Source organism: Homo sapiens, chromosome 18, assembly GCF_000001405.40.
Source record: "Homo sapiens chromosome 18, GRCh38.p14 Primary Assembly".
Classification (NCBI taxonomy): Eukaryota; Metazoa; Chordata; class Mammalia; order Primates; family Hominidae; genus Homo; species Homo sapiens.
In genome coordinates, this window is record NC_000018.10 from 12,804,599 (window position 1) to 12,827,620 (window position 23,022).

Consider the following 23,022-nt stretch of genomic DNA (forward strand, 5'->3'; position numbering starts at 1 on the left):
ATAAACAACTGTATGCCAACAAATTGAAAAGCCTAGAGGAAATGGCTAAATTCTTAGACACACACGAACTATCAAAACGGAACCATGAAGACATAGAAAACCTGAACTGACCAATAAAGAGTGAGATTAAATCAGTAATAAAAAGTCTCCCATCAAAGAAAAGCCCGGACTTGATGGCTTCATGGCTGAATTCTAACAAACATTTAAATAATACTAATTCCTTTCACACTATTCAAAAAACTGAAGAGGGAAATCTTCCAAAATCATTCTGTAAGGCCAGCATTACCCTGATACCAAAACCAGACAAGGACACAACAAAAAAGAAAACTACAGGCCAATATCCTTGATGAATATGGATGCAAAAATCCTGAATGAAATAATAGCAAATTGAATTCAACAGTATATTAAAAACATCATTTACCATGACCAAGTGGGATTCATCCAAGGGATGAAAGGATGGTTCAACATATGTAAATCAATAAACATGATCTCTCAAAAATCAACAGAATCAAGGACAAGAACCATATGATCATTTCAACAGATGCAGAAAAACCATTTGATAAAATTCAACATAGCGGCTGGGCGTGGTGGTTCATGCCTGTAATCCCAGCACTTTGGGAGGCTGAGGTGGGTGAATCACTTGAGGTCAGGCGTTTGGGACTGGTCTGGCCAACATGGTGAAACCCCATCTCTACTATAAATACAAAAAATAGCTGGGTGTGGTGGTGCATGCCTGTAATCCCAGCCACTCAGGTGGCTGAGGCATGAGAATCGCTTGAACCCAGAAGGCGGAGGTAGCAGTGAGCCGAGATTGCACCACTGCACTCCAGCCTGGGCAACAGAGCAAGACTCTGTCTCAAAAAAAAAAAAAAATTCAACATACCTTCATGATAAAAACTCTCAACAAATTAAGTATGGAGGAAATTGTGCCTCAACACAAAGCCACGTTATGACAAACCCATAGTTAATATCATACTGAACATGAAAAAGTTGAAAGCTTTTCCTCTTAAGATCTGGAACAAGACAAAGATGCCTCCTTTCTTTTTTTTTTTTTTTTTTGAGATGGAGTCTTGCTCTGTCACCAGGCTGGAGTGCAGTGGCATGATCTGCAACCTCTGCCTCCCAGGTTCAAGCGATTCTCCTGCCTCAGCCTCCCGAGTAGCTGGGACTACAGGCGCGTGCCAGCATACCCAGCTAATTTTTGTATTTTTAGTAGAGGCAGAGTTTCACCATGTTGGCCAGGGTGGTCTCAATCTCTTGACCTCATGATCTGCCCATCTCAGCCCCCCAAAGTGCTGGGATTACAGGCATGAGCCACCGCACCGGGCTAGGATGCCCACTTTCAACACTTTTATTCAGCATAATACTGTAAGTCCTAGCCAGAGCAATTAGCTAAGAGAAAGGGTATTCAAATTGGAAAGGAGGAAGTCAAATTGTCTCTGTTTGCAGAAGACATAATCTTATGTATAGAAAACCCTATAGACTCTACCAAAAAACTGTTATAACTAATAAAAAAAATCAGTAAAGTTGCAGGATACAAAATCAACAAATAAAAATCAGTAGAATTTTATACATCACTAACAAACTATCTGAAAAAAGAAATCAAGAAAGCAATTCCATTTTCAAAAAAATTACCTAGGAATAAATTTAACCAAGGAGGTGAAAGATCTCTATAATGAAAATTATAAAACATTAATGGAAAAAGTTGAAGAGGACACAAATGGAAAGATAGCCTATGTTCATGGATTAAAATTAATACTGTTAAAATGTCCATACTACATAAAGTGATCTACAGATTCAATGCAATTCAATGAAAATACCAATGATATTCTTCACAGAAACAGAATAAATAATCCTAAAATTTGTATGAAATCATAAAAGACCCCAAAAGCCAAAGCAATTTTGAGCAAAAAGCTGGGGGCATCACACTACCTGACCTCAAAATATACTACAAAGCTATAGTAACCAAAATAGCATGCTACTATCATAAGAACAGGTATAAAGACCAATAAAACAGAAGACAGAGCATGGAAATAAATCTACGTATTTACAGCCAATTTATTTTTGACAAAGATGCCAAGAATATACACTGGTGAAGGACAGTCTCTTTGATAAATGGTGTTGGGAACACTGGATATCTAGATGCCCAAGAATGAAACTAGACCCCTATCTCTCACCATATTAAAAAATCAACTCAAAATGGACTAAAGACTTAAATATGAGACCCCAAACAAATATACATACTAGAAGAAAAGATAGGGAAACACTTCAGGACATTGGTCTGGGCAAGGGAAGGGTCTTTTGTATAAGACCTCAAAAGCAAAAACAGACAAATGGGATTACATCAAACTAAAAAGCTTCTGTATAGCAAAGGAAGCAATCGATAGACTGAAGAGACAATCTACAGAATGGAAGAAAATATCTGCAAACTATACATTTGACAGGGATTAATATCCAGAATATATAAGAAACTCAAACAAAATTCAATAGCAGAAAACACAAGTAATCCAATTAAAAATAGGTAAAAGACCTGAATAGCCATTTCTTAAAAGACATACAAAGAGCCAACAGATACATGAGAAAATGGTCAATATCACTAATCATCAGAATAATGCAAATCAATACCACACTGAGATATCACCACACCCCAATTAGAATGACTATTATCAAAAAGACAAAAAATAAATGCTGGCATGAATGTGGAGAAAGGGGAACTCTTGTACACGGCTGGTGGAATGTAAATTAGTACAGCCATCTTGGAAAACAGCATAAAGGTTCCTTAAAAGATTAAAAATAGAACTATCATATGATCCAGCAATCCCACTACTGGGTATTTATCCAAAGGAAATGAAATTAGGATTTCAAAGGCATATCGGCACTCCTGTGCTTATTGCAGCACTATTCACAGTAGTCAAGATACGGAATCAACCTAAATGTCCATCAATGAATGGAGGGAGAAAGAAAATGTGGAAAAAAAAAAAAAAAAAAATATATATATATATATATAATATAATACTATTTGGCCATTAAAAAAAAAAGAAATCCTGTCTTTTGTGGCAAAATGGATGAAACTGGAGGACATTAAGCCAAGTACACAAAGACAAATACTGTATGTTCTCACTCATATGTGGAATCTAAAAATGTTAATCTCATAGAAGCAGAGAGTAGAATAGTACCTACTGGAGGCTTCGCAGAGTAGGGAAGAGGGGGCATAGTGAGAAACTGAACAACAGTTCAACAGGGGGATGAGTTCTGGTGTTTTACTGCACAGAATGACTATGGTTAATAATATTTAATATTTCAGACAGGGTGTGGTGGCTCATGCCTGCAATTCTAGCAGTTTGGGAGGCTAGGGCGGGCAGATCGCTTGAGCCCAGGAGTTTGAGATCAGCCTGGGCAACATGGTGAGACCCAGTCTCTACAAAAATTTAAAAATTAGCCATATGTGGTGGCACGCGCCTGCAGTCCCAATTACTTAAGAGACTAGGGCAGGAGGATCACTTGAGCCCAGGAGGCGGAGGCTACAGTGAGCGAGCCATGATCGTGCCACTGTACACCAGCATGAACAAGAGAATGAGACCCTATCTCGAAAAAAATTTATATACATACACATTTTATATACACATAAAATCCTCTCTTCTGGCTATTTCGAAATACTTATATATACTTATATATATTTCAAGTACTATGAAATATATTAGCACATAATAATATATAATTAAATAGAGATTTCAAAATAGCTGGAAGAGAGGATTTTGAACGTTTTCACCACAAAGAAAAGATAAATGTATGAGGTGATAGACGTGCTAGTCTAATTTGGTCATTACATAAATGTATCAAAATATCACACTGAACCCCATAAATATGTACAATTACTAAGTGTCAATTAAAAACAAAGGCCGGGGCATGCGGTGGCTCACGCCTGTAATCCCAACACTTTGGGAGGCTGAGGCAGGTGGATCAAGAGGTCAGGAGATCGAGACCATCCTAGCTAACATGGTGAAACCCCATCTCTACTAAAAATACAAAATAATTAGCTGGGTGTGGTGGCACACGCCTATAGTCCCAGCTACTCGGGAGGCTGAGGTAGGAGAATCACTTGACCCCAGGAGGCGGAGGTTGCAGTGAGCTGAGATCACACCACTGCACTCCTGGGCGACAGAGCGAGACTCCGTCTCAAAAGAACCAACCAACCAACAGACAAAAAAACAAAATAAAAAATAAAGTAGCACTGCACAAAAAACACAAAAATTTTTAAAAAGATTTCAGCCAAGGTAGATTTTGCTTGAATCTTAATCCACTTCTAATCCAGAGGTATGTAACACTGGAGTAGTCACCACAGTGGTGCTTGAATGTGATCTGGAACCTTCTTGCTCCTTGCCACTGTTCAGTCTAGGGGAGAACTAACGGTGAGATCTCCAAGCTGGTCCTTGTGATGCTAAAGGACTTTAATTTGGTTGTGTCTATCAGGTACGCTAGCAGCTCCAGGCAGCTGGCTAGCCCACCACTGGGCTAGAGAAACACCCTCCAGCATGCCTCTAGCATGGCCTTCAGGAGTAGATGGCAACACAAACCAGGATTCGGACCAAGATGAAGACAAATTTCAGTTTCTTCTATGAAAGAGGATGTCATCATCTACCCTGGGAGACAGTTGTGATTAATGAGATGGCATGTGAAGCGCCCAGCATCATGTCTAGAAAATATGTTTCCTGTGCTCTCACTTGTCACCATTCCTAGGGACAAAGGTAGAGGAAGAAGAGTGTATCTGGGCCCCTGCAGATGAAAGCAGTGACAATTGTACATGCCAGAGAAGAAAAACGCATATATAACCTATGCACTGGGACTATAGTCTCTCAAGTCCTTGAAAGGATGAAACATGATCCCCATCTATGTATCTGCCAGTGGCAAGTGGTAGAGGCAGAAGCAGTGGGAGCCAATGGTTTTGATTACCTATGACTGACACTGGCCCAAATGACTTGGTATGGACAGGGATGGCCTTCTTTGAAGATCCTATCAAGGACGCAAGGAGTCTTGGATCTAATAAATAAGGAATACTCTACTTATTGCCCGAGGAGTCTAATGATTTTGGACAGAGATGTAACATTGCAACTTAAAGTTTTTTAGAACTTATGGAATATTCATTCCCTGGAGTTACTCTTGTGCAATATGGTACTGTTAAAAGCAATGCTTGTATTCAGATCTTTAAAAAATCTCTGGGAAATCCATTCATACAATGGATAAACTAGTTTCTAATTTGTCTCATTGTCATCATGTACCAGAGGTATTAAAAAGAAAAAGGCACGCCTGGCACAGTGGCTCATGCCTGTAATCTCAGCACTTTGGGAGGCTGAGGTGGGCAGATCACTTGAGGTCAGGAGTTTGAGACCAGCCTGGGCAACATGGTGAAACCCCATCTCTACCAAAAATACAAAAATTAGCTGGGTGTGGTGGCACATGCCTGTAATCCCAGTTACTTGGGAGGCTGAGGTAGAAGAATTGCTTGAACCCGGGAGGCCGAGGTTGTAGTGAGCTGAGATTGTGCCACTGTACTCTAGCCTGGGTGAAAGATGAGACTCGGTGTCATGGAGAAACCCTGTCTCTACTAAAAATACAAAATTAGCCAGGCATGGTGGTGCAAGCCTGTAATCCCAGCTACTTGGGAGGCTGAGGCAGGAGAATTGCATGAATCTGGGAGGCGGAGGTTGCAGTGAGCCGAGATCACGCCACTGCAATCCAGCCTGGGCAACAACAGTGAAACTCTGTTTCAAAAAAAAAAGCATTTTCCACACTTCACCGTTCCCAGATATGGCTATTTTACTTAGCTGCATAATCAATGTACCTCTTTTTATGTTTTTAATTTTTTTAGAGATGGGGTCTTACTCTGTTGCCCAGGCCAGAATGCAATGGTGTGATCACAGCTCACTGTAGCCTCAAACTCCTGGGCTCAAGCAGTCCTCCTGTCTCAGATTCCTGAGTAGCTGGGACTATAGGAGAGAACTACCACGGCTGGCTTTTTTGTTTTATAATAGTTGATTTACAGAAGATTTAGAAAATGTGAAATTCTACAGTTTGTTGTGTTTGGAGAACAGTTAGTAGTACAGTTTGGTACAATTTGTCTAGAGGATGGAAAACACGCAAAGCTTGAGTAGGAGAGATGAGGCTGGAAAGGAAATAGACCTCCGGGAAAGAGGTCTCTGGACTTCATGAGTAGTGGGGTAGAACTGAAAATCCTGAGCCCTAAGAGGGCGCAAACCATGTCCCCGAAAGAATACTGTGCCAACAATCAAGAAACTACAATATAATGGAACACAGGAGTAATTAAGGATGTCTTCACTTAGATGACTGTCTATTTTCTTTGTTCCCTTGTTTGTTTTGTTACTCAATCCAAATCTTTTATAGTGAAGACATGGAGTACTTGCTACTCTCCATGCCATATTCTAACACTTCAAATGTGCTAGCTCTTAATCCTCACAATAACCTTAGGAGATAAGCACTAATACTAATATTACCATTATTACACCCTTTTTACGGAAGATGTGGGGAGAATAATTAGGTAACTCGCCCAAGGATATGCACCTAACAAATAGTAGAGACAGAATTTTAACCTAGGCAAGTCTGGGTTGACTATGCTGTGACCCCTTATAAAGATGTGTGTTCAACAAAGTACCCCACAAAAATGTTAAATTGTCTCCAGAATTTACACTGGTCAATTTTTGAAGTTTCCACTCTTGACTGAGACCTAGTTATGTAACTTGGCCTTATAGCTGGACAACACTCAACAATGTCAACAAATAAGATGACACCAAAAATCAAGTCTCACTGGACCACTTCCCAGAATATGCAACAAATTCAGAATACGTCAACAAGGAAAGCACTCGGCAGAGAGAGAAATAAAAGAGATATTTAATGCTAGTGAATTAAAAAAACCCCACAAACCCAACAATGTCATTTTGCCATGGCTATGTTCAGCAAACTCACTCATGGCTATGTTCGACAGACTCATTCATGGCTATGATCAGCAGACTCACTCGTGCCTATGTTCAGCAAACTCACTCATGCCTATATAGGTTCAGCAAACTCACTCGTCTCTGTCCTCCCTGTGACACACAAGGGAGCCAGCACTCCTGAGTCACCTGCCTCAGGTCATTAATGCTGACTGGTGAAGCCAAGGAATTACATTTCACTAAACTATAACCTCAAAGGAGCTCTCATTTTGAGGCCTGGTACTGTTTCATCTTTCTTTCTAATTCTGTGCTCACGTTGCACCAACCCATGAGTCACTGCCACTAGGAGCCATGCCCCCCACACAATGCCTAGAACCCTAGCTCTACCCATTTCTCTCACTGAAGAAAGCTTTAAGCAATGCAATTAAACTTCAAATCCTCTGTAATTTGTTAAAAGTTTATCATTTACATTTAATACTTTATTAGTAATATCAAATTACCAGCTAGAGATCTTACAACATTAGTTCTGAATTGCCAAACTAGATATTTACTCTGGGGGGTTAACTGTCATCATCAATACTGGGAATATGCTAATAAATATGTGGTAATACCAGCAACCAGCTTAAGTATTTATGCCTGACCTTGTGCTGAAAGGCAATTGCAAATAGCCTATATGTCTATAGGAATGTCAAAGTCATTGGAAGTTTTCTGTAAATGAATACATGCTTTAAGATTATAATTACACATATTTACAGACTTAAGATACAATCACTTTGGGCTGGGTGCGGTGGCTCACGCCTGTAATCTCAGCACTTTGGGACGCCGAGGTGGGCGATCACTTGAGGTCAGGAGTTCGAGACCAGCCTGGTCAACACTGTGAAACCCCATCTCTACTAAAAATGCAAAATTAGCCAGGAGTGGTGGCAGGCACCTGTAATCCCAACTACTCGGAAGGCTGAGTGGGGAGAACCACTTGAACCTGGGAGGCAGAGGCTGCAGTGAACCGAGATTGTGCCATTGCACTCCAGTCTGGGCAACAAGAGCAAAACTGCGTCTCAAAAAAAGAAAAAAAAACCAGTAGCATGTGTGGTATGTATTTATTAATCCAACTTTATCAGTAATCACTTCATATGCCGATGGTCTAAATGCACCAATTAAAAAAGATTCTCAGAATGCCAAGACCATTTCTGCAGAAATTAACCCCTTGGAATGGGCAGCATGCTTTTCTGATCCTGAGTACCTGAAGGATAAAGATGTTTCCAATATCCTATCTGGAATAGGGGCAGAAAATGCCTTAGAATTGAGAGCCTGAGGACAATATCACACCAGATAAATTAACAGAAAAAAAATCCTTCCTAGCCACAAACTGCACTGTCAAAGACTCCACAAAAAAGTGTGTCCAGAAAAACTCATCTCTGTGATAAAAAAAGATCCACCCTCAGATAAAGTATGTATTCTAAAACTAAAGACACAAAACTTAAAAAAAAAAAAAGCAGTGGTAGGAAAGACACAATCCAAAGGACAATACATTTCCCTCCCAGTTACCCGTCTCATCACAGCCAGGAAGCAGGCAGGGAAGGCGGCATGCAGGCTGTGAAGGCATGGGGAAATCTGATTGAACTACTTTTCTTTTTGAACTCCAGATTTAAGTTGGTGAAAGCTCACTGTGATTAGAAAGGGAAATTTTCCTAATCTTAAACATCTGAAATAACTTTTACTTCACCTAAATCACTGATCACTGCCAAAGTGACCCTGGCAAATCCAGTGTTCCCAAAGTCTGGCGTCTGAAGCAGGACATGTTCTAATGGGCTGAGTTTCCCAAACATTGCGTATTTTGGCTCTGAGTGCCCTAATGTTTCTGTGCATTAAGAATATTTTAATGCTATTTAAAGATTTGGAAAAAATCTTTTTAAATAAACCTTTATTCTGACACCAATGGTCCGATCTAATTTACATTCTTATATTGGCTAGTAATCAGAGAAATGAAAGTGCTAGTAAATATGTTCACACATGAGAAACATAATGAAAAGACAGTCGATCTTCTTATATTATGCATCAACTTACAGTATCTGCTTATGTCCAATACTATGTGATTAAACCAGACAAAAAATGGAGTCTGTGGTTGTTTCTATTTTACATTTTAACTTAGTACATAACACAAGTTTCTGATCAGTCTTTGAACTTAGGTTCTACAAATATGCAGTAAAAATAGCTTAATGAGAATAAAGCCACCAACCAGAAGAATATAACATTTTGCTGGAATTTCATTATATCTGCCATAAATATTCAAGTTGCTTGTTGTTATAAAGTCAAATATCACATAAACCAAGTATCAGTGTTTAATGAAGGCAAAAGTATCTCAAGTTTCCAGTTACTTTAATAATTAAAAGATTAACCACCCCCAAAATGAAAAATTCAGTTTCTTTAATGAAATCTTGTTTCTACAAGGGCTTTTAAGTAACACACAGGATTTAACCTGAGGCTGAGTATATATGAGGAAGCTAGCTAAAATTTTACAATTTTAAGACAGCCAGCTGGATTTACCACAAAAATTCAAATACACTCTTTGAAACAAAGACAAGGGCTCAAGTGGAGTGCAGTTATTTGATGCTATGTGTATTTAACAAATAGATATGATTTAAAACCTGTATGAAGTTTACCTGTATACTAGAATCTCCCTTTATACATTTTGCTCCTTCTATTATAGCCATGTATGAGAATCTCAGTTGATCTGGGGTCTGAATAAGACCCATTCGGTATTTTCTCATGTTCAGTAACACTTGTTTTATGTTAATATCATCTCCTTTTTCCATCTGCAAGAAAGGCAAAAAATGAGACAAGTCTTGTTATTGGAACCCAGGAAACAGAATCAATGCAAGATCATTGCTAAGATTTTTGCTATGCATTTTCTCCTCTGAAAGAACAACGATAATTTAACCCTCCAGCTATAACTGTTATGTACACAACAACTATCCCAGCCTACTCATCCCTCCCCACATCTCAACCCCTCAAGTAGTTGGAGGACTTTGATTCTTTAGCTGATTCACAACTGATTCCAAACCAATCATAGTAATCTCATTCCTTCTGGCCAGTCATTGGTTAAAGGAAGGATTTATAACCAGTTCTGGCTAGTATAAGGACTATTTTTTTTTTTAAAAGTCATGGCAGGAGTCAACCTTTCTGCTCATTCCCCTTCCGCCTCCTTCATGTCTGCACTACAGACACGATGTCTGGATATACAGCACCCATCTAACAATGGTGGAAAAGAGGCCAGGCATGATGGCTCATGCCTGTAATCCCAACACTTTGGGAGGCCAAATCACTTGAGGCCAGGAGCTAGAGACCAGCCTGGCCAACATCGCGAAATGCCATCTCTACTAAAAATACAAAAATTAGCTGGGTGTGGCGGCGCATGTCTGTAATCCCAGCTACATTGGAGGCTGAGGCTGGAGAATCGCCTGAACCCAGGAGGCGGCGGTTGCAGTGAGGTCAGATAGTGCCACTATACTCCAGCCTGGGCGACAGAGCGAGACTCCATCTCAAAAATAAATAAATAAATAAATAAATAAATAAATAAATAAATAAATAAATAAAAATGTGGTGGGTCACACCTGTAATCCCAGCACTTTGGGAGGCCAAGGTGGGCAGATTATGAGGTCAAGAGATTGAGACCTTCCTGGACAACATGGTAAAACCCCGTCTCTACTAAAAATACAAAAATTAGCTGGGCATGGTGGTACGCACTTGTAGTCCCAGCTACTCGGGAGGCTGAGGCAGGAGAATCTCTTGAACCCGGGAGGCGGAGGTTGCAGTGAGCTGAGATTGCACCACTGCACTCCACCCTGGCAACAGAGCGAAACTTCGTCTCAAATAAATAAATAAATAAATAAATAGAATAATAAAATAAAATGAAGAAAGACGGTGGAAAAGACAGCAAAAGCCCAGATCCACGATAACACTGCTGAGCTACAGCACTGCTCTGGACTACTGACCTAGTGTTAGAATCCCCACACCCAGGCTCACCAAAAATAAAAGAAAAAAAATTGTTGAAGTTATAGTTGGCAGGGAACAGGTGTCATTAACAAAATAATCACCAGAGTTTTAAAACTTTGATGTAACAATCTAATTTTGATTGAAGTATACTATATATACGCAGAGTGGTAAAGTAATACAGATGTTTAGTTAAGACTCAACCGTTCCCAATTCCTAGCTTTCATTAGAGATGCAACGTCTGAAATGTTCTTCCAAGAGTATCACTCCTTCCAAGAGTATCACTCCATTGATCAAGCTCCTTGTGTGTGTGTTTACAATGAAAAGCATCATCATATTAATTCACCTGGGAATCTACTTTGTGCTGGCAGTCATGGTGGAAAGCATAAGAATGCTGACATAACTGCAATGAAGCATAGCTACGTTTTACAGAAACATCGAAGAGACTAATACAGGGCCTTAAAGTCAAGGTTAAGAACACCAGTCTTGTGTCAAGCGTGGTGGCTCAAACCTGTAATCCCAGCATTTTGGCAGGCTGAGGCAAGAAGATCACTTGAGCCCAGGAATTTGAGACTAGCCTGGCCAAGATAGTGAGGCCTTGTCTCTACTAAAAATAAAAAAGCAAAAACTAGTTGGGTGTGGTGGTGCAGGCAGCTACTTGGGAGGCTGAGGTGGGAGGATCACTTGAGTCCAGGAGGTTGAGGCTGCAGTGAGCAGTGATTGCACCATTGTACTCCAGCCTGGGTGACAGGGCAAGACTCTGTCTAAACAAAGACAAAAACAAAATCCCCACCAGACTGAATACCAGGACAAGCTAAACTGCTTAGGTTATTGATAATCTTAGAACACGCTCAGAAAGCAGAAACTAAGCTGCAGGGACTACTGAAGGAGTAGATGGCATGGAAATCAAAGCAGACAGTATTATTGTTGGGTTTGATCCTATAATAAGAGGAAGAAGTAAAGACAGAAGTTAGGAGAAGTATAAGGGCAAACAGAAGTTTCATGTATCCCAAGTAACGAAAAAATAAAGGTCCTAAAAAGAGAAGAAAAGATCTAGGCTGTATACAGGCTGGGACTGGGAATGACTGGTGGAGAAAGAATTAGCCGTTGGGGGCACAGACAGGAACCTCAGGGGAGTAACAGTAATACTGACATTTATGGAATGCTCAGAAAACATCAGGGACTCTTCTAAGTCTCCTTAATGTATTAATTCATTGAATTCTCACAGGAACCCTGTGAAGTATGTCTATCATTATCCCTAGTTTTTAAATTTAAAAAATGAGATAAAGTATCTGTCTGAGGAGGAAGGAATTCAATATTACATATGAATTTATATTTGAAAAAATGTGGGGGAGAGACCTATTATTTCTGTAATATAAAGCTACCAGGAAGAAAAACACCTTCTTAGGGATCTCTAAAATCATCATGGATACATTCCTACCAGTCATGAATAAGAGGCAGTTGCAACGGTGGAAATGAGATTTTTAGGTTTTTCCAAAAGTAGAAGTTTAAGTTGAAAAACCTCAGTTCTGGGATACAGCATCAGAGTTTATTCACTGCCAGTGGAAGCAATTTAAAAAAAAAAATCAATGAGATTAAAATGAGATCGTAAGAAGCACTTACCAAAACAAGACAAGTGTCTACCAGAGAGAAGGTGCCAGAGCGCCCAATGCCTGCACTACAGTGGATCACCGCAGGCCCATGGTCAGGGTTCAAGGAGCCAGATTCTCTCACTTTAAACAAGAAATTGAGAAATGAAGCTGGTGATTCAGGGACTCCAAAATCTGGCCAGGTAGTATAATGAAAGTGAGATATTGTTCTGGTTTCACCACTCTAAAAAGTGAAAATCAAGGGAGAAGTTAGTTCTAACTTTTTTCTTTTAAAAAACTACTTCAGAAAGATCATGTGTTTTATATAATTCTTTAAAGCCATATAGGCTGTTTATACTATGATTTTTCCATTTGTTTTCTGACAATCCCATATACAAACTAGGGAAGATTTTCTTTAGTGGAAATTTGTGATGTATTAATAATAGCTAACGCATACAACACTTACTATTTTGGAGGCCTGTTCTAAGCACTTTACTTATTAACTCAATCCACACAATAATCCTATTAAAGCCCATTTTCCTGATGAGGAAACTGAAACAAAGGGTAAGATAGTTTGCCCAAGGTCACACAGCTGGAACATGGCAGAACCAGGATTTGAAGCAACCTGGGGCAGCCTTTGGGTTCTCAGCTACTAATCTGTTACCATACATGTTACCAATATTTTCTTTAATTCATGTATCATGAATGGGCTATTTTTTTCTATTTTAAAAAATTTCTGCCGGGTGCAATGGCTCATGCCTGTAATCCCAGCACTTTGGGAGGCCGAGGTGGGCAGATCACTTGAGGTCAGGAGTTCGAGACCAGCCTGGCCAACATGGTGAAACCCCGTTTCTACTAAAAATACAAAAAATTAGCCAGGCGTGGTGGCGCGTGCCTGTAATCTCAGCTACTTGGGAGGCTGAGGCAGGAGAATTGCTTGAACCTGGGAGGTGGAGGTTGCAGTGAGCAGAGATCGTGCCATTGCACGCCAGCTTGGGCAACAAGAGTGAAACTCCATCTTCAAAAAAAAAAATTTTTTTTCTACCAGTATAATTTTACATTCTTTAACATTTTCCTTTTTATGAATTTCAAAGTTTATTTTTTAAATATAATCTCCCGTTCACATGATTATCTTTTAGATTCTGCTACACAGGCATAGGGGAGCAACTCAAGAATTAATCTAAAGAAACGATCTTTATATTTTTAATTGGAATTGCTCCTCTAAATTGTTGCCTTTCCCCATGGCAATAATTTCCAATCCTAAAGCTGTTTATATGCTTTTGCTGATGTGCTAAAGTGGTTTACCAACATGCTAAATGTTTCCTGTCTCTTAAGCCTGCCTGGTATTCACTATCGCTTCCTGGATATTCCTGATGATCTGTATTTCTAACTCATTATGAAAATGTTCCTTAGCTTTTTGCCAATTGCCTTTTGCCCCAAGGAGCACTTCTCTGCTTTATACTCTTCATTTGTGTAAACGAAGCAGTGGTCTTCCACTAATATGTCTTTGTGCAATTTTTCAGTTTTATTGTAGGAGGTTTTTTTTTTTTGAGGGAGGAGGCATAGAAACAATGTAAAAAACCTTGATGTTTAATGGTTTAACAACTAAAGATTATTATTATAATATCCTGCTCCCAATAAAAATTTTCAAAATTAGAAGTTAGCTTTCGCTTTAAAAATATAAATTTTCGGCCGGGCGCAGTGGCTCACACCTATAATCCCAGCACTTTGGGAGGCTGAGGCGGGTGGATCACCTGAGGTCAGGAGTTCGAGACCAACCTGACCAACATAGAGAAACCCCGTCTCTACTAAAAATACAAACCTTATCTGGGCATAGAGGTGCATGCCTGTAATCCCAGCTACTTGGGAGGCTGAGGTGGGAGAATCGCTTGAACCCGGGAGGCGGAGGTTGTGGTGAGCCGAGATCGTGCCATTGTACTCCAGCCTGGACAACGAGAGCGAAACTCCATCTCAAAAAAAAAAAAAAAAATCCATTTTGCAGTAGAAATTAAGACTTCTATGTCCCAGACTCAGTATATAAGGTATAATACTAATAAAATACAGTGAAATAAATTTTCTAAAAAGTACATACTTTTAGTGACCTTTTAACATCCAGCATTAATAATTTCAAATACAGTGTGATCCACAAGTTCTCAATATACTAAAAGCAATAAAAAATTTCTCCATTACAAATTAAAATGATCATGGTTTCTACGCTTTAAGACATTTATTTTTAAATTAATTATGGTAAGTGAACAAAGCCAGACTAAAGGCTATATACTATACTATTCCATTTTTATGACATTCTGGAAAAGGCAGAAAAACAGAAACAGAAACCAGATTACTGGTTTCTGGCTGGGGGTAGAGGACAGGACTGACTGTACACAAGCAACACAAGAACATCTGGGGCAGGGGAGAGGTGACAGAACCGATCTATGTTTCTGTTATGGGCAGTGGTTACATGACTGAATGCACTGTCAAAAGTCACAACACGACTGTACACCAAAAGGAATCAATCTTATTGTAGGTTAAAAAAAAAAGGTAAATTAAATTTATTGCATTAAAAAAGAGAATTCAAAACATTCTAAAATAAGAAGGGTAAACTCTAGTCTCCTTTTACAAAGCAGCAGGTGGGCAGTTAATACGGCAACACTGACACAGGAATGAGCTAGAGAGGTGGGTTCTTGACAGCGGGGGGTGGGGGGGATACAGTTAACTCAAAGTCAAGTTTTCCTTTAAATGAGGTTAAGATTCCAGTGGATGTTAATAACCCACTTTGTTTCTTACTTGCTGCGGCCACCAGCAGGACCAGACTCAGTCTGTGTGGGCCTTCATGTGGTCTGCTTTGAGCAGGGGCCTGCAGTGCTCTGTGGGCTACGGCCCAGTACCCCTACGGGGTCCTGCGCACAATTACTTCATCAAGTCCTGGCTCAAACATATGGTTACCCCACAATCTTGGGCAACAGCTTGCTTTCTCTTTGCTTGTATGATTTTGGCTCAAAACTAGTGGTCTCAACTTTTTTCACATTCAGGTCACGCTGTCTGGGATATTGGAAGCCAGTTCCCAGAAATGCTCATGACTATTTGTATAATATAGTCTTCCCCACTAATAGATTTTTGAAAATCAGTTGTTGTTTTTTTTCCCCCCTACAGAACCAGGACTTTTTTGAGAGGTTAACTTTGATTAATTTATCCTTACAGAAACAAGATTAAAAAAACACAGCTTTCCAAAATCATAATTCACAGTTACAAAGGACCACACGAAGGCATAAGATGCATATATTTACTACTCTGGTATAGAAACATTCATATGCATGACTGGATGGACCCCTTTCCCTCTTTTTCACGCAGGAAAAAAAATGAGAGGGGAAAAAAAGGGTTGCCAAAGGATACAGAGCTAAAACGAAATTCATCTTTATTCCAAACAAGGTCTGCATTTAGACTTTACAATTTTTGGCAAACTCCTTATTTTCAAAACTGTGGAAGCACCCTTTTCTTCTCCTTGGTCACCGAGTCACACTACTTCTCCTCTGGTCCCCAGCTGCTGCCCTCCACCCTTCTCGCTGCTTCACCCCCCTCCCTACACACACGCGGGTTGCACCCACAATTATAGGCTGTCCCTGTCTGCAGCCGTTCCACACATGCCTGCCAAGTTTTCTGTGTAAAACTCTGCATTATGTATACTACATTCTGCACAAAATGTCAGTGGCTTGCTGTTCTAAGGCAAAATCCCATTTACATTTTTAAAAGAGAATTCTAAATTTAAAGTCTTTGAACAGCAATGTCAAACTTGCATATATGAAGCCAGGAAAATAACCTGTGAGTTGAGCAAGTGTAACAACAGGAATTGTTAGGCCACAGCAATTTAAGCATATGCCCTGTTCACAGCCTTCAAATGCAAGTTAATAATCATCATAAATATATAATAAGATTATACATTTTCCAATTATCATAAAAAATCTATACAGCTCTATGACCCCAGGCCCAATTACTTTCACACTTTAGGTATATATGGAAGGTACCAAGATTTTGTTTCTAAAAGACTTTCACTAAGCCCCAGTTCTGTCATCTGTAAATAGGGTTAATAATACTACTTACCTTACAAAACTGTTGTTAAGGAATAAATAAAACAATTAATGTGAAGTGCCTGCCATATCCCTGCACATGGTAAATGCTTAACAGATACTGGATATTTTTAAAACAACTATACTCACCAATTGCCTTTATTGTGGCCCCTAGAAAGCTCCAGTCAATTGTAAAACTCAACACATTTTCAACCTCTTCATTGGGTATTTCCTCTACACCTAAAGAGTGACAAAGTTTGTCAACCCTATGTCCTAACCAGATGTCAAATCTGTACCTTCACTATCACTGCCTTAGTTGAGTCTCTCATCAATTTTTGCCAGGGTCAGCATGTCAGTGATAAATATTTACTGACTGGGATTCATTGTGAAAGGCAGATCAAACTCACCAGATCAGGAGGAGTGGCAGAAACGGCTAGGGACAGGCTTGCATTCTCAGCAGAGAGAAAGCAATATGCAAAGGCATGCCACCCACCCCCACCAAGGAATTCACCTATTAGAGAAGTCTGTCTGTTAGCACGAACAAATCCTGGATACCCGAAGGAGAGGGAGTTAGACAAGGAGGCAAGGACCAGGCTGAGCTGGGTCATGGTCTTGTGCACTGGACACAGACTTTTTTTGGTAACCAATGGAAGCCACAGAAGAATTCTTAGAGGATGGTGGAAAGATTGCATCTGTGTTTTACAACAATCACTCAGGTGTAATGTGCTTAAAATGTACTCTTGTGTAATGGCGGGGGGGTACCAAGGCAGCAGATAACTTCCAACCCCTTCGAAGTTAAAAACCTCATTATGGAGTCAAGATTTACATAGAGAGATGTATTGAACAAGCAGTAGAATGATAAAATTTAAATTACTGAAAAAGTATAAGAAGAATCATAGCTGTTAGGGATCAATGTGTCATAGATACATGTTAGGAGAGACCTAAGTAAGAAGTGGGCCACAGGGGTTACTAAGGACGTGCAGAGAAGAGAGAGGACATTCTAGGTAGAATAAACTGTTTAAACTATTTTGAACCAAATCCCAGCTAAGCATCATAATAATTAGAGACTCTCATCTTGCTAAATCTTTAGGGACAGGGAAATAGAAGACAGTCAGCATTATAACAGTATTCCTGGAACTCACTAAACGTAAAGCGGGCCAACATTACAGAAATAGTGAAGGGCAACTAAAAAGAAAAAACTGAAAGACAAGTACTCTAGATGACCTTATATTTTTAAAATCCCTCAAAATTATCTCCATAGCTTAAGCCACAGGCCACACTGAAAGCCGAGATGCAATCTCTTCTTCAGGGGCAAGAGTTCAAACTTTTAGCTTTAAGTAAGTCACTAAAGGGCTCCTGGTATGTCATTTTGCTGTTCCATTAGACTGGAGGAGGCGCAGGGCTTGCTTAGACAACAGCTTTACCTTTGGACTTGTTAATAGATACGTGTCAGACTCCCTTAGATGCAAACTGGATCTCTGCACCCCAGCGACTCCAATAAAGACAGAGATCTGCGTGTTGAGATTGGCTATCAGCCCCCTACTCCATCATCACTTTTTCTCACTCCCATTGGTTCTTTCTTTCTTGCTAGTATCCTTTTCAACTACTCCCGGTTCCTGTTGTCCCTTCCAATTCATTACTGTTACAAAAAGGAAACTGATCAACTAAAAAGGTAATTGTGGCTCCCGCACCATCATGATATTAACTCACTTGATCCTTAGAGCAATCCTATGAAGTAGGTACGTTATCACCCTCATTTTATAGATGATAAAACAGGTACTGTTTATCATCTATAGTAAAGTAATGTGACCCAAGTCACTCAGCAAGAATGGCAGAGTCAGGATTTAAACTTGGGCTATCTGATTCTAGAGGTTATCTACTTAGGCAAATGTAATTCTGCCTCTCATACTGAAATGCTACTTTATCCTTCTAAAGAATAAAGAATCCCTAGTTCTAATTAAAAATTATAAAGTAGAACACAAACAAATTCTTGCTATTATATTGTGGTATGTTCTAAACCCAGGCCAATAAAAAATCCAGTGATCATGTCATTATACCACACAGTTGCTAGCAACTAAAACAGAGTGGCTGGCCAACTCACATGATGGCCTCAACTCCAGAAAGATGCTTCAGAATCAATAATCTCTCTTTACAACAATTAGCATCTTTTCAAAAGGACTTATCCCCATGTCAAAAGTTAGGAGATGGCCGGGCGTGTTGGCTCACACCTGTAATCCCAGCACTTTGGGAGGCTGAGGCGGGCAGATCACCTGAAGTCAGGAGTTCAAGATCAGTCTGGCCAACACAGCGAAACCCCATCTCTACTAAAAATACAAAAAATTAGCCAGGCGTGGTGGTGCACACCTGTATTCCCAGCTACTCGGGAGGCTAGGACAGGAGAATCACTTGAATCCAGGAGGTGGAGGCTGCAATGAGCCAAGATCATGCCACTGCACTCCAGCCTGGGCAACAGAATGAGACTTTGTCTTAAAAAATAGGGGACCAGGAGAACTAATGAGATCAGTCTGTCACTTATTAGCTAAGTAATCGATGGAAAAATTCCTATAACCTAATGGATTTTAACTATTATTTTTTATAATATAAAATACGGGGATAATAAGAATATTTACACTATCTACACTAACTGAAGACTACTGGTCAGATGATATATATGTGAAAGCATTTTGGAATCTGATAAACAAAACACAAAAATCATTCTATTTTATTGTTACTTAAGGTATAATCAATTCTCAATAAGGACTGTTTCAGAAACAGGGAAACACATCTATGCCCTTCATCTAAATCAATTTTAATGCCATAAGCAAATGAGTAATTACCTGGGATAAATACCAAGAGAAGATGATTCAGAGAACTTTCAGAACCTTGTGGAAATACAGTTCTGTTTCTGGGAATGAACAATGTACAGCTCAGTCCAGTATCAAAGAGTTATTGATGTATCTCAATGCAGTTTAAGACACATGTAAATGGAAAGAGTTGGGACAAAATAAATATAGTAATGGGAATGTATAAATAAATCTAAGCATTATCATTCGTAATTTTGAGCCTTTTTAGGTGACTCAAGAGACTGTATAATAAGCTTAGTACGGATGTCACGGGAAGCTGGACAGAAGGAAAACCAGAACCTAGGCCTCACGCACAGAGCATGCACCTGTGCTTACTCAATGCAGCAAAAAACACAAGTGTTTCAAGGGATCCACCATAAAAGGGACTGCCACACATCTAAAAAGCATGTATATATCTCCCTTCTCTTTAAGGTTTTTTTGTATTGTTAGTGATCACTTAATTTACTTAATGGTTAACTAAAACAGTATTTCACTTATAGACTACATACATTCCTAAAGTCATATGAGGCTAAACATTCTCCTATTTTCAAGCTATCACAGTTTCTATTAGCATCTCAGAATTACTCTCATTTCATTATTTTCTAGTTTATTCTATTACAACACAAAGAGGGCAAAAGAGGTAAATGGCGAAAGGGGGAGAAATGCCTCAATCATCACCCTGGCAACAGCAGGTTCATAACCCACTATGTGTATGTACCTCAACCAAGGCCCAAGGAACAGTTCATATGTTTCTGGGGAAGAAAAATGCAAGTAAGGCCTGGCATGGTGGCTCATGACTGTAACCTCAACACTTTGGGAGGCCAAGGTGGGAGGATCGCTTGAGCTCAGGAGTTTGAGACCAGCCTGGATAACAAGGCAAGACCCCATCTCTATTAAAAAAAAATAAGAAAATTAGGTATGGTGGCTCATGCCTGTAATCCCAGATACTCAGGAGGCTGAAGTGGGAGGATTTCTTGAGGCCAGGAGTTGGAGGCCTCATTGAGAGCTGTGATTATGCCACTGTACTCCAGCCTGGGTGGCAAAGCAAGACTGTCTCAAAAAACCAATCAACCAACCAACCAACCAACCAAACAAACACCCAAGTAAATGTTCTTGAGACCACATGCCACATTTATACATGTGTGTGTATGTATGTATGTATGTGTGCGTGTTACATATATATATAAAACACCATTTTTTTTCCAACTCAATAGGGACAAATTTTTGTGTTGTGAATCACTTAACAATAGCTTTGTAAGTTATTTTCTTGACTATTTTGCTATTCTTGGCAGTCACAGGTCCTGGGAGCTATTGCTTGCTGGGCATTTACTAAGGTCAGGTGCTCTGCATACACATCCTCATTTGACCTTCAGGACAGCCCCGGAGGGAAGGCGTGGTAACCTCCATTTTACAGATGAGGAAGGGATCAGTGAGGGTGGGGAACAAGTCTAAAGTACAGCTCTACTAAGCAGCAGAGCTGGATCTGAATCCAGGTTTGCCTGATTCTAAAGCCCTCTCTATTAATCCTCATGTATTTCTATTAATTAATTTTTAATCCCCAAATATCAAACTGAACTTTGAAATTCTTAGTTTCTACTGTTTCTTCAGAGTCCTCAGAAAGCTACTAGATGCAGACACACAATCTAAAAACACGTGATTATGGCTAGATACTATAGGAATTATCCAAATGCATGTGCTTATCAAACTTCAAATCTAATAATAAAGAATAATTCTTTAAACCATCATATAAAGTCCACAATTTCGGGCAAGAAAGGTCTTACATTGATATTTTCTAATTGTAGTAGATGTACTGTATAATACGACTTCACATCTTCTGACAAGAGCTTCACACTGAATCCTGTTTCTTTAAACAGCATCTCTTGGTCATCTGTTGGCCAGTACTGTGCACATTTAACCTAAATTTAGAAATATGTATATGATTTTTTTTTAGTTTATAGACATCATGAAACCATAAAGTTAAAAAATGAAAACAAACCAGATATATACATGCTATATTTTTTCAAGTACCCAAAACTAAGAAGTCACTACTATATTCTACGCTTAATGTATTTTAGTAAGATTGAAATTTTATAGCCGGGCGCGGTGACTCACGCCTGTAATCCCAACAATTTGGGAGGCTGAGGCGGGAGGATCACCTGAGATCAGGAGTTCGAGACCAACCTGGCTAATATGGTGAAACCCTGTCTCTACTAAAAATACAAAAACTAGCTAGGCGCGATGGCGGGCGCCTGTAATCCCAGCTACTTGTGAGAGTGAGGCAGGAGAATCGCTTGAACCCAGGAGGTGGAGGTTGCAGTGAGCCAAGATCATTCCACTGCACTCCAGTCTGGGTGACAGAGCAAGACTCCATCTCGGGGAGCAGGGCGGGTAGAGATTGAAATTTTATAAAGCATTTTTTATGTGTGTGCAGTCATCACTGTAAGCCAGTTTTAGAACATTTCTCTCAGACTCAGAAATCCCCTTGTGTCCTATTCCCACTCCAAGCCACAGGCAAGCACTGATCCATTTTCTGTCTCCATAGGCTTTTCTTTTCTTTTGAGCTGGAGTCTTGCTCTGTCGCCCAGGCTGGAATGCAGTGGCGTGATGTTGGCTCACTGCAACCTCTGCCTCCTGGGTTCAAGCAATTCTCCTGCCTCAGCCTTCTGAGCAGCTGGGATTACAGGCGTCTGCCACCACACCCAGCTAATTTTTGTATTTTTAGTAGAGACAGGGTTTTGCCATGTTGGCCAGGCTGGTCTTGAACTCCTGACCTCAAGTGAACCACCAACCTCAGCCTCCCAAAGTGCTGGGATTACAGGCGTGAGCCACCATGTCCGGTCTTATAAGGTATTTTTTAAGTGTTCCTGTAACTTATAAACTAAAAAAGCCATAGGTATCATATTCATAAAATAAAAATAAATTTATCATTCTTAAAGCATGATTACCTATATTTTAACGTCATGGGACATTCACTTTATGTTTCTAAAATTATCAAACTCTTGCAATAATTTTATCTTCAAAATAAATGTTGCTGGCCAAGCGCGGTGGCTCACGCCTGTAATCCCAGCACTTTGGGAGGCTGAGGCAGGCGGATCATGAGGTCAGGAGATCGAGACCATCCTGGCTAACACAGTGAAACCCCGTCTCTACTAAAAATACAACAAATTAGCCGGGTGTGGTGGTGGACGCCTGTAGCCTCAGCTATTTGGGAGGCTGAGGCAGAAGAATGGCGTGAACCTGGGAGGCGGAGCTTGCAGTGAGTCGAGATAGCAGCACTGCACTCCAGCCTGGGCGACAGAGCGAGACTCCGTCTCAAAAAAAAAAAAAAATAATAATAATAATAATGCCTTAAGAGGAAAATAAATAATTTTTTTTTTTTTTAAGAGACAGTGTCTTGCTCTGTAGTAGCCCAGGCTGGAGTGCACTGGGGTGAACTTGGCTCACTTCAGCCTCAATCTTCTGGGCTCAAGCAATCCCCCAACCCCAGCTGGGACTCCAGGTGCGTGCCACCACACCTGGCTACTTTTTGTATTTTTTGTAGAGGCAGGGTCTCACTTTGTTGTCGAGGCTGGTTTTGAATTCCTGGGCTCAA

General features: G+C 40.0%; 1 protein-coding gene across 11 annotated transcripts in view; it reads right to left on the minus strand.

The window, feature by feature from the left end:
• Positions 1–23,022, minus strand: part of PTPN2 (protein tyrosine phosphatase non-receptor type 2) — a 98,760-nt gene that overhangs the window by 19,121 nt on the left and 56,617 nt on the right. For 8 of the 11 annotated variants that reach the window (NM_080423.3, NM_080422.3, XM_017025884.2 and 5 more), the window contains 3 exons: positions 21,212–21,346; positions 12,558–12,767; positions 9,605–9,757 (listed from right to left, as the gene is read on the minus strand). In NM_080423.3, the coding sequence (NP_536348.1) occupies positions 9,605–9,757; positions 12,558–12,767; positions 21,212–21,346 (498 nt within the window). Of the gene's footprint in view, positions 1–9,604; positions 9,758–12,557; positions 12,768–14,615; positions 14,685–21,211; positions 21,347–23,022 lie in introns of all 11 variants that reach the window. The other 3 variants (NM_001207013.2, XM_047437695.1, XM_024451228.2) reach the window with 2 other exon arrangements.